Source organism: Homo sapiens, chromosome 2 (genome assembly GCF_000001405.40).
Source record: "Homo sapiens chromosome 2, GRCh38.p14 Primary Assembly".
Classification (NCBI taxonomy): Eukaryota; Metazoa; Chordata; class Mammalia; order Primates; family Hominidae; genus Homo; species Homo sapiens.
The window spans coordinates 31308056-31321184 of record NC_000002.12 but is presented as its reverse complement, the minus strand read 5'-3'; the positions used below and the strand labels follow the sequence as shown (position 1 = coordinate 31321184).

Here is a 13129-nt window from a genome sequence, read left to right as displayed (position 1 = left end):
AACGCTCACGTATATGGAGGGAGGAATTGGAGGAGGTTTCACAGAGGTGGCATTTGCATTGATCCTGAAGGATAGTGTATTGTTTTCTATCGCTGCCATAACAGATGACCACAAATTTAATGGATTAAAATCACACCTATTTTTATTATTCCACAGTTCTGTAGGTTAGAAGTGTGGGTACATGTGGCTCTACTCAGTCCTCTGCTTAGAGTTTCACGAGGTCAAAATCAAGGTTTTGGCAGGGCCGTGTTCCTTTTGGGAGTTTCTGGGGATGAATCTGCTTCTAAGCTCATTGTTGGCCGTTCCTTACAGTTGTAGGACTAAGGTCTTCACTTCCTTGCTGGCTGTTAGCTGGGGGCTGCCCACCTTCTCCTCATGCTTTCCACGTAGCCTTCAGCAATGGGGGTCAAGTCCCTCTCACGCTCCCAATCTTTCTGTTGAGTTCTGCCACTTCTCTTCTGACTCCAGCGGGAGAAAGTTCTGTGCTTTTAAGGGCTCATGTGATTAGATTGGGTGCACCTGGATGATCTGGGCTACTCTGGCTTTTTTTTTTTTTTTTTTTTTTGACAGAGTCTTGCTCTGCCACCCAGGCTGGAGTGCAGTGACACAATCTTGGCTCACTGCAACCTCCGCCTCCTGGGTGCAAGCAATTCTCCTGCCTCAGCCTCCCTGTAGCTGGGATTATAGGCATGCACCATCACACCTGGCTAATTTTTGTATTTTCAGTAGAGACAGGATTTTGCCATGTTGTCCAGGCTGGTCTCTAACTCCTGACCTCAAGTGATCCACCTGCCTCGGCCTCCCAAAGTGCTAGGATTACAGGCGTGAGCCACCGTACCCAGCTGTACTCTGGCTATTTTAAATTCTGTAACCTCAATTACATCTGCCAAGCCTCTTTTGCAATGCAACATGATATATTTACAAGATGCAGGGATTGGGGCATCTTTGAGGGGCCATTATCCTGCCTCAGTATGGATAGACTTTACATCTGCTGAGCCATGCCAGAGGGCTCTTCAGCAAGAGGGAGTGGGAAGAACAAAACCATAGAGGCAGTAAACCACATGGAAGGGGCAGTGAGAACAGCCAGCCTTGCCTGGGGTGCTAACCAGTTAGTTTCCTCCAAATGATGAGATATGTGTGCAAGCTCTTGCACAGAGTAAGACCTTCTGAACCAGAGAAAGCCAGCCACAGATTCCTGTCCTAGGGCATGTAGGCGTTCCCCGCTGCTCATCTCAGTTCTGTCAGGGAGATTGCTGTTGTAGCGTTTCTACACTTCCTGTGTACACCCTGTTCCTCCAGATGTAACAATGTAGAGCCAAGCACCTTCAACAAATAAAATTTATTTACTATTACATTTGTTGCACAAAGTACTGGCAAATCAGAAGAAGAATATAATAGTTGCCCATAATCCGGACACTCAGAACAACTGTTAACACTGGTGTTTTATGAGGTGCCTTTAACAGGCAGCTTTCCGTGTCTATTAATGTTCTTTCTCAATGGTATTTTCTATTGTATGGATGGCACTGTAGTTTATTTAATGGACATTTGGCTTACTCCCAAGTGGTTTTGCTCTCATAAACATGGCTGAGATAGCATAACAAGAGTTGTTTTGACAGTCATGTTAAACAGGATGTCAGCAGGCCCTCAGTGGGAATGCGAAGGGGAACTTGGGGTGGTACAGCTGTGTGAGGGTGAGTGGCTCCTTTCCTAGTTTCTTCATCCTGGCCTCTTAGCTAAACCCCTGTGTACTGCTTTGTTGTTAACTTGGTCCAGCTGCACCCGAGAGCTCATTGAATGGTTCACTTAAGAGCTATGCATTTCACTATGTGTAAATAATCCTCAATATTTTTTAAAATTAAGTATGTCCTAGTTCCAAACCAGCAAGATCTTGCTGTTTTTGTGCACATTCACATAAATGGGATTGGATGTAATAAAAACCAAAAAAAAAAAAAAAAAGGCACAGAGAGGAGCTGGCTGGGCGCTGGCCTCCAGCATGGGACGGTAAAGGGAGTAGTTACTGGGAACAGGCTCAGTTTGGTGAGGGGTGGCCACCACACTGCTTTGGCCCTCAGCCGCCTCATTTGCATGAAGCCCCACCTTGCTGGCTTGTGCTGTGGTGGGGGGTTAAGACCCCGTATATAAAAGTCCAGCATGGCACCTGAGATGAGACAGGGAGTCAACATAGAGGAGCCATTCTTGAACCTCCAGGAACTTTTCCGGGGAGGTGCAGTCGGCGCTGGGCTGCTGTGCTCTGTGGTTTCCCCTGTGGGTTGGTGGTGAGTCAAGGGCCCCCTGGGAAGAGCAGAAAGAAGACAGGCGCTGGGGATGTTGCTAACTGCTTATTTCTGAGGGTCAGAAAAACCTCAACTCAGTACAGCTGGGCTGTGCCCTTCAAGGGTGGAGCCTGAGGGTGGAGTTAAGTAGAGAGAACTCTGGAAGGGGGTGAGGCAGGGGCCAGAGGAACTGGCAATTCTGCCTGAAGGAGGTGGGCCTAGGGTGCCAGGGGAAGATATCTTTTTCTTCCCAAAGCAAAAAAAAAAAGGAAAAATGACAAGAGCTCTGCTCAGAGCCTGGCTCAGGGCTGCTTAAATGTCTCTGCTGGCACCACTATCCTAGCCACTGCCTTTACAATTTCATGTGGGAAATGAACACGCTTACTATGATGAAATATCAATCTCATGCAGATTTTGAAGGGATTACGTATACACACATCTGCTTTGGCTTTGAGGTTATTTATATTTGAACAGCAAGCTGCGTGCCTTAAGTTCTAGTTATTAGGAATGTGTAGGCCATGGTTTATACTGATGCCAACCTGCTTGCCTACATACTGTAGGGTGAACCATATCACCCATAGAAAACAAATTGATAGTGATGAAACAAATATAAATTATCATTAAAGACCAAAAAGACCAGCAATTTTAAATCACGACCCATTCAAGACAACAGTGATGGTCCTTTGATTACACTGCGTCCTTCTAAATGACTACCAATGGGGACTTCCAGTGACTTTTGTGGACACTTACCCCATGGAAGTCTGCAGGATGGCTTGCTGCTGCAGGTAACTCTGGGCAGAAGAGTGGGTTGGCACCCCCTTTAAGCCTGACAAAATTCCTCATGTGAGTTTATGAGTTCCAAATAATAGTAATAAACTCAATAACTCACTAGGTAGGTGTTTGGTAAATGATCTTTTGATGTAAAAATGAAATTGTATAAACATTAAAGGAGGATCAGTGAGTGGCTTATCGGAACCATCCTCCCAGTATTCCCCGGGGTTAAATGTTATACCCTGAGAAGGCTTGACAAGAGCTCTGAATCATCTGAGCTGGTTATTGAAAATGCAGGTTCAGGGCCCCCCTTGCAGAGATTCTGGTTAAATAAATCTAGAGTGAGACCCAAGAATCTGAATTTTAAACAAGCCCTGGAGGTGATTCTGATGCATGTGGTCTGCAGATACAAATTGATGGAAAATGCCCAAAGAGAATGGGGCCCCTCTCTGCCAGGTGTTAAGAGCACCTGCTATTCTGAGCAAATGCTATTCTGAGAGCATTTGCAGGCTGGAGTCTGCCTTTATGAGCTCTGGGTGGGAAGGTAGTTCAGGCTGGTTTATACAGCCACATACAGGGAAGACAGTGAAGAATGCCCAAACATAGGGGGTGCTCTATGCTGGAGAAATGTTTAGTTTAATCCTTGAGTTGCGACAGGTTGGCAGGAACTAAAGATCTCTTAGAGAGGGATGGGCCTGAGGCATGAGAGACGCAGAGGCCAGGTCCAGAGATGCAGCGTGGAAGGGAGGGGACCATGGAGAAGGATAGAAGGACATAGCAGAGGGGATAAAGAGAAAAAAACGCATGTACACATGACACCTATTATAATTATATGTTGAGGGCTTTGCCTGTGTCAGCCCATTCACTCCTCAGCACAGCAGTCTAAGATGGCAATAACATTCGTTTTTTACATGAGGAGACAGTGGCTCCCAAAGGTTAGAATAAGAATGGAAGTCAGAGTTTTATTTCAGGACCATGTGGTTCCTAAGCTCTCACTCTTGATTTTGTGTTTCTTTAGGCAAGTAAATGATGTTTAGCCACTATACCCATCTATATACGTATTCATTATTTCATTCATTCACTCAACATGAATGAGCTCCTGCTAAGTGCCAGGCACTGAGACAGGGGCTGAGGATTGACAGGTGGACAAAAGAGACACTGCCTTAGATCTTAATAGGAAACATGAATATTAAACAGTCAGACACGTAACTATAATTTTGCAAAGAGTTGGAAGAACTGAAAAGGAAAATTGCAGGTTCTGTGAGAAATAAAGCGGGGACCCTTAATTTAGAGTGGAGGGTCAGAAAAGGCCTCTATGGAATGTTGGACTTGAAGGATGGGTAGGAATTAGCTAAGCTCAAGTGTGGGGAAAAATGTCCCAGAACTGTGCTGTCCAAAAGAACTGTTGTGCTGTCCAATATGGTAACCATCAGCCACATGTGACTAGCAAGCACTTAAAACGTGTCTAGTGTGACTGAGAAATAAATCTTAAGTTTTGTTTAATTTTAATTAATGAAAAAATACATATTTCTTAAAAACCACATGTGGCTAGTGGCATCTGTATTGGACAGCACAGCTCTAGAACAAATGGGAAGTTTAAGCAAAGGACCTGAACTGAAAAAGGGTTTGATGGCTTCCAGAAGCCTAATTTGTGGTGGGTACAGTGGGGAGACTGAGACAGCATGAGGCCTGAAGGGAACAGGGCTCAGAGTGTGCAGACACTTGAAGGAACAGGGCTCAGACTGTGCAGACACTCAAGGGAGCAGGGCTCAGAGCATGCAGGCACTTGCAGGCCTCATGAGGGGTTTTCAATTTTACTGCAGTGGGGAAGTTGTTGAAGGATTTTGAGGAGAAGAGTAACTTGGTCAATTTTTGTTTTAAGATCACTTTTCACTGTAGCAAACGGATCAGAGGGAGCTAAAGTTAGAGAAAGGAAACCAAGGAGTAAATATTGTCATTTCCTAAGAAAGAGATGTTGGTGGCTCAGCTTAAGGTGGATACTGTGGAAATGAAGAGACATGGGTGGATGTGGTATAATTTCTAGATAGAATGGATGGAACACACAGTTTTAAACATACAGAATCCAGTAGCCTAGGCCTGTGTTGTCTAATATGGTAGCCGTTAGCCCCTTGTGGCTCCTTAAATTTAAATTAATTAAAATTAAATGAAATAAGTCTTTCTGCACTGTACCATTCACATTTCAAGTGCTCAAAGGCAACACGTGACCAGTGGCTGCCATTATTGTACAGGGTAGCCTTTAGTGAACATTCCTGTCATTGTAGAAACCTCTACTGGGTAGTGCTAAAGTCACTTGGAGAAATGTTTAAAAATGGATCTAGAAGAGGTCATCAGGTCCAACACCCTCACCGTGGAGGTGACATGCTGGGGGACACTCAGCTGATTCCTGGGTGTTGCTGGAGTGGTGCCTAAACCAGGCTCTCGGGTGGCAACCTTTTCCACCCAAAGCATCAGAAGCATCATGGGCAGAATTGCCTGCTTCCCCAAGGGCTTTGTATCCTGAGAGAAAGGCCCTGCTCCAAGAGCACAGGGCAAAGCAGTTCTCACTCCTCCCCAGGCTTTTATCCAAGAGAGGGGAATGGGAGCAGAGGGGAAGGGCACATGGGTGGAGTAATGAGACCCACTTGTCAGAAGGCTAAACTAAAGCGTTACCAGCGGTGTTTGTCTAAGGAAAGGCTTCTGAAAGGCTCAGGCCTGATTTTGACTCAAACCATTTAATAATTCTATGGCAGCCTGAAAAAGAAAGGCTGAGATAGAAACAACAGAAATACAACCACCATTATTGTTTCCAGCTAACATGGCCTATCACTGGAGGCTCAGAGAACGTGTCTTTAGTTACTTCTGCAGAAAATAATGCATTGCTTTCTGAAAGCCACACACCACCCAGGCCACTCAGTCCATCCCCTCACTCAAGAAACACCACAGAAATGGATTCCAGAGAAATCCGATCAGCATACCCTTGCCACACAAGGCAGGACCCCAAGTGACCCTTGTTGTCTCCAGAAAGCATAAGGAAGAAGAAGAAAAAAAAATCCAAGGTACCAAATCCTCCTGGTGACCTAGTAATCTGGGAACAATTAAGCGAGTTCACAGGAAGTAAGTAAAGCGAGGAAAAAACTTTGTTTTCATCACCTCTGAGTTTCTAGTTAGGGACAGGGCTTGGCTCAGATAAGTCAAAAGGAGGGGAGTGGGGAGCTGCTGGAGGAGCAGGCTTGGGGAGGAGAGGAATGCACAGTGGGAGGATACCTTGGTTTGCTAAAGCTGGGACACACTTCACTGTGGGACCATGGGTTGATCTCCACCTCCCCTACCCTGGCAGCTCAGGACTGCAGGACTCAGGGTCACAGGCCCTAGGAGATGACCAGATCCCACCTCAATGGCAGCAGTGGTGCCCTGACTGTCTTCTAGTATTTCTTGTTGCCCTGTGCCCTCTTGGAGTATGGACAGATGACGCATGACTATGCCACCTCCATGTGTCATATCCCTCGGTCAATACTTGAATTTCCATCTCTCACATTTGTATTGTCATTACTCTTGAATAGGATAACAAGGATGGGCTACCATTAGTTGAGTATTGCCTATGTGCTGGGTGCATTGCTAAGGGCTTCATGTGCATTATCTCAATTAAACTTCACAATCACCCTATGGGACTATTGTTATCTCCACTTTACCAGTGAAGAAAATGAGGCTCAGAAAAGTGAATATGATATAGCAATCATTCTCCTGGGTATTTGCCCAATTGAGTTGAAGACTTAGATCCACAAAAAAACCTGCACATGGATGTTTACAGCAGTTTTATTTGTAATTGCCAAAACTTGGAAGCAACCAAGATTTCCTTCAGTAGGCGAATGGATAAATAAACTGGTACATCCAGAGAATGGAGTATTATTCATTACTAAAAGAAAATGAGCTATCAAACCATGAAAAGGCATGGAGGAAGCTTAAATGCATGTCACTAAGTGAAACAGCCAATCTGAAAAGGCTACATATTGTGTAATTCCAACTACATGGCATTATGAAAAAGGCAAAACTATGGAGACAGTAGAAGCATCAGTGGTTATCAGGGGTCTGGGGGCAACAAAGGATGAACAGGTGAAGAACAGAGGATTTTTAGGGCAGTGGAACTACTCAGCATGATGTTGTAATGGTGGATGCATGTCATTATACATTCGTCCAGACCCTTAGAATGTACACCAAGAGTGAACACTAATGCAAAGTATGAACTTTGGGTGATAATGATGGGTCTGTGTAGGTTCATCAATTGTAACTAATGTACCGCTTCAGCATGGGATGTTGACAGTGGAGGAAGCTGGGGTTGGGGGTGATATATGGGAAATCTCTGTACTTCCAACTCAATTTTTTTGGGAACCTAATACTGCTCTAAAAATTAAAGTCTAGCCGGGCACAGTGGCTCATGCCTGTAACCCCAGCACTTTGGGAGGCTGAGGCGGGAGGATTGCTTGAGCCCAGGAGTTTGAGACTGGCCTGGGCAACATAGCAAGACCCTGTCTCTACAAAACTGAAAGATTAGCTGGGCATAGTGGCATGTGCCTGTGTTCCCAGCTACTCAGGAGGCTGAGGTAGGAGGACTACTTGAGCCCAGGAGGTCAAGGCTGCAGTGAGTCATGTTTATGCCACTGCACTCCAGCGTAGGTGATAGAAGGAGACCCTGCCTGAAAAACAAAAAGTCTATATTAAAAATAAAAGCATCAGCATCTGTTCAAGGTCCCCGCACTAGTGACCAGTGTAGCTGGAACCCAAGTGCCGGGCTCTTCAACTTCAGATACTACGTTCTCCACCTTTATGGTGTCCCATATCACTGCAGGCTTTCATACCTCACAAATACTTTTGTTTTTAATTAACCACTTTAGTTCACAGTGATCCTATGATGTCAGCATTAATTCTATTTTCCAGATAAGGAAATAGGCTCAGAGAAGTTAACTAATTCACTCACGTCATGTACTGGGTGGGTAAGTAGCTGAGTCAGAGCTTGAATCTGGGCTGAACTACTCAAATCTCTGTGCTCTTCTCAAATAACACACATCATCCAGACACTCATCTGATTAAGCAGACACACAGTGCTGTCTGAGCTGATTACTGCACCTGCAGTAATCGCCAGGGATAGCGATATGACTCTATCAATATGACCTATCCATATGACTTCTGCTAGACCTTAAGTCATTCCACCAGCTGCTGGCAGTAGTTGGAGCCTATGTAGATGTGGGCCACATCACCACCAAAGCAAGGTGCATGAAAAATGCTTTGTCAGTGGTTCACACCTAGAAAACAGGGGTGTGTGACTAGTGGAGAGAGAAGGAAAGAGGGTGGTAACTGGGTTAGTGTGCTGAAAAACCGATATCCAAGCCCAGCACCTCACTTCTCACCAGAGAAGGCTCAGCTCTTCTACCCACTGAGCCTTCGGATGTGGGGCCATGGGTAGCCAGACCTCCTGGTTATAGGGGAAAGCTTACAGCAGCAATGGTCATGGAGAAGGCCCTTTGGAAACACTGAAGAACATTTAAAACTCCCTTCTCTCGGCTGGGCATGGTGGCTCACGCCTGTAATCCCAGCACTTTGGGAGGCCGAGGCAGGCAGATCACACGGTCAAGAGATCGAGACCATCCTGGCCAACATGGTGAAACCCCATCTCTACTAAAAATACAAAAATGAACTGGGCATGGTGGCACGTGCCTGTAGTCCCAGCTACTCAGGAGGCTGAGGCAGGAGAATCGCTTGAACCTGGGAGGTGGAGGTTGCAGTGAGCTGAGATAGTGCCACTACACTCCAGCCTGGAGAGAGAGCGAGACTCCATCTCAAAAAACAAACAAACAAACACAACAACAACAACAACAACAACAAGAACAAAACTCCCTTCTGTCTCTGTCCTTTCTCTAAAGGCAGTTTGACAATGTCCTTCTTTCCCTCGTAAGTGGAGAACTTGCCTGATTTTAATCCTGGGCACATGCTGGTCTCCTCTCTCCTTCTGGCCCTCTTTCTTCCCCTTGCTTCTAGGCCACATGCCTTTCCTTATTCTCTCCTAGGAAGGGAGGAGATGGAGGGAGCTGCCCATGTTTTCCTTGAGTTTTGGCAAGAGTGTAGGGTTTTAAACCTCAGTGTTAACTAACCACTCCAGAATACTGCAGGAATAAACCAGGAAAGCCAAGAGAACCCACAGACCCTCTGAAGGAAGTGGATTGCCCCTGCAAAACCCGGGAGACAGCCCAAATACTGTGAGTGCCTAAGCTGTGGAGGTGGGAAAGGGGGATCGTCTGCCCCCAAACACATACCCTCACTGGGGAACCTGAGGGTCTAAATTATGGGAGAAGATTCTGACCTTACCTGGAGCTAAGTCAATTTAGAAAGCTGAGCAAAATACAGTGGTAGAGGAAGCAGTGGCAAAAACCCTGTGGGCTCTGAGTCTCCTGGGAAGCTATTTCAGACTTGTCTGACAGGGGTCCTTGGGGAGGGGAGGAACTAAGAAAAGACCACAGGGAGAAGGAAATCTCCAGCTGAACTTTGTAAAAATTCCAACCAAACGCAAAGTTTCCTGGCCAGAACTCAGGGGAGGGCATGAATCTGTTGTGCAGAATCCACAGGTGGGGAAGCACAAAAGCCCTACTTGCTTTTGCAGCTGGGAGGCTTGTAGCCTGGGGCAAGTTCTCAGCCCTGTTCACCTGCTGGCTGGAAACAGACTGTTGCTGTTGATGGGGCTGGGTGGGACACAGTGGGAGTGAGACCCACTTTTTGGGTCATGTGGAAGCTGGTTGAAGAGTGTGACTTCTGGATTTCTCCCACTTCCTTGACCACCTGCATGACATAGCAGAGGCAGCCATAATCCTCCTAGGAACATAACTCCAATGACCTGGGAACCACAGCCCCAACCCCCACAGCAGCTGCAGCAAGACCCACCCAAGGCTCAGACACGTCGAGCCCCACCCCCACCTGATGGTCCTTCCCTATCCACCCTGGTAGCTGAAGACAAAAGGCATATACTCTTGGGTGTTATAGGACCCCCAACCCACCGCCTGATCCTCCCTATACTACCACAGCTGATGCTCTCTTGAAAGCACCACCCCCTGGCAGGAGGCCAACCAGCACAAAAACAGTGCATTAAACAACCCAAACTACGGACCCTCTCAGAGTCCAATTCACCCCCTGCCACCTCCACTGGAGCAGGTGTTGGTACCCACAGCTGAGAGACCGAAAGACAGTTCACATCACAGGACTCAGTGCAGACAACCTGTAGTACCAGCCTGAAGCCTGGTAGACTTGCTGGGTGGATAGATCCAGAAGAGAGATAACAATCGCTACAGCTCGGCTCCCAGAAAGCCACATCCCTAGGAAAAGGGGGAGAGTACTACATCAAGGGAACACCCTGTGGGACAAAATAATCTGAACAGCAGCCTTGAGCCCTAAATCTTCCCTCTGACATAGCATACCAAATGAGAAGGAACCAGAAAAACAATTCTGGTAATATGACAAAACAAGGTTCTTTAACAGCCACCCCCCAACCCCTGCCAAAATCACACTAGCTCACCAGCAATAGATCCAAACCAAGAAAAAATCCCTGATTTACCTGAAAGAGAATTTAGAAGTTCAGTCTTAAGCTAATCAAAAATGCACCAGAGAAAGCTGAAGTCCAATTTAAGGAAATAAAAAAAAATGATACAAGAAATAAGGGGAGAAATCTTCAGTGAAATAACTAGCATAAATAAAAAACAATCACAACTTCAGGAAATAAAGGACGCACTTAGTGAAATGCAAAATGTCCTGAAAAGCCTCAGCAATGGAATCAAACAAGAAGAAAGAACTTCAGAGCTTGAAGACAATGTTTTCAAATTAACCCAATCCAACACAGACAAAGAAAAAAGAATAAGAAAAAATGAACAAACCCTCTAAGAAGTTTGGGATTATGTTAAGCAACCAAACCTAGGAATAACTGAGATTCCTGAGGAAGAAGAGAAATCTAAAAGTTTGGAAAACATATTTGGGGAAATAATTGAGAAAAATTTATTTGGCCTTGCTAGAGACCTAGACATCCAAATACAAGAAGCTCATATAACACCTGGGAAATTCATTACAACAAGATTATCACCTAGGGACATGGTCATCACGTTACCTAAAGTCAAGACAAAGGGAAAGAATCTTAGAAGCTGTGAGGCAAAAGCACCAGGTAACCTATACAGGAAAACCTGTCAGATCAACAGCAGATTTCTCACTAGAAACCCTACAAGCTAGAAGGTATTGGGGCCCTATCTTCAGCCTCGTTAAACGAAACAATTAGCAGCCAAGAATTGTGTATCCAGCAAAACTGAGCTTCATAGATGAAGGAAAGATACAATCTTTTTCAGACAAACAAATGCTGAGAGAATTCACCACTACCAAGCCAGGACTACAAGAACTGTTAAAAGGAGTTACAAATCTTGAAACAAATCCTGGAAACACATCAAAACAGAACCTCTTTAAAGCATAAATCACACAGGACCTATAAAATAAAAATACAAAAAAAAGAACAATTAAAAAGACAAGGTATACAGGCAACAAATAGCATGATGAATGGAATAGTACCTCGCATCTCAATTCTAGCACTGAATGTAAATGGCCTAAATGCTCCACTTAAAAGATACGAATTGCAGAGTGGATAAGAATTCCCAACCAACTCTCTGCTGCCTTCAAGAGACTCACCTAACACATATGGACTCATATAAACTTAAGATAAAAGGATGGAAAAAGACATCCCATGCAAATGGACACCAAAAGTGAGCAGGAATAGCTATTCTTACATCAGACAAAACAAACTTTAAAGTAACAGTAGTTAAAAAAGACAAAGTAGGACATTATATAATGATAAAAGGCCTTGTCCAACAGGGAAATATCCCAACCCTAAATATATATGCACCTAACACTGGAGCACCCAGATTTATGAAATTACTACTAGATCTAAGAGATGAGATAGACAGCAACATAATAATAGTGAGGGACTGCAATACTCCACTGACAGCACTAGACAGGTCATCAAGACAGAAAGTCAACAAAAACACGATGGATTTAAACTATACCCTCGAACAAATGGACCTAACAGACATTTATAGAATATTCTACTGAACAACTGCTGATTACACATTCTATTCACCAGCTCATGGAACTTTCTCCAAGATAGACCATATGATAGGCCACAAAACAAGTCTTGATAAGTTTAAGAAAATAGAAATTATGTCAAGTACTCTCTTAGACCACAGTGGAATAAAACTGGAAATCAACTCTAAAGGAACATTCAAAACCATGCAAATACATGGAAATTAAATAACCTGCTCCTGAATGATCATTGGGTCAACAATGAAATCAAGATGGAAATTTAAAAATTCTTCAAACTGAACGATAATAGTGACACAACTTATCAAAACCTCTGGGGTATAGCAAAGGCAGTGCTAAGAGAAAAGTTCATAGCCCTAAATGCCTACCTCAAAAAGTCTGAAAGAGCACAAATAGACAACCTGAGGTCACACCTCAAGGAACTAGAGAAACAAGAACAAACCAAACCCAAACCCAAAAGAAGAAAGAAAATAACCAAGGTCAGAGCAAAACTAAATGAAATTGAAACAAACAAACAAAAAACAATACAAAAGATAAATGGAACAAAAAGCTGATTCTTTGAAAGATAAATAAAATTGACATACCATTAGCAAGATTAACCAAGAAAAGAAGAGAGAAAATCCAAATAAGCTCAAAAGGGGAGCTATTATAACTGATACCACAGAAATACAAAAGATCATTCTAGGCTACTATGAACACCTTTACGTGCAAAAACTAGAAAACCTAGAGGAGATGGATAAATTCCTGGAACGATACAACCTTCCTACCTTAAATCAGTAAGAATTAGATATCCTGAACAGAACAATAAAAAGCAGCAAGATTGAAATGGTAATAAAAAAATTACCAACAAAAAAGTCTAGGACCAGACTGATTCTCAGTTGAATTCTACCAGACATTCAAAGAAGAATTGGTACAAATCCTATTGATGGTATTCCACAAGATAAAGAGGGAATCCTCCCTAAAGCATTCTATGA

At 44.2% G+C, this 13129-nt stretch overlaps 1 annotated feature.

The window, feature by feature from the left end:
• Window positions 2330-2399: a silencer, noted in NCBI's record as "silent region_11330". NCBI's record gives its function as "represses an Ori minimal core promoter by ATAC-STARR-seq in GM12878 lymphoblastoid cells {active_cell/tissue: GM12878}" and the evidence as "EXISTENCE:reporter gene assay evidence [ECO:0000049][PMID:35858748]".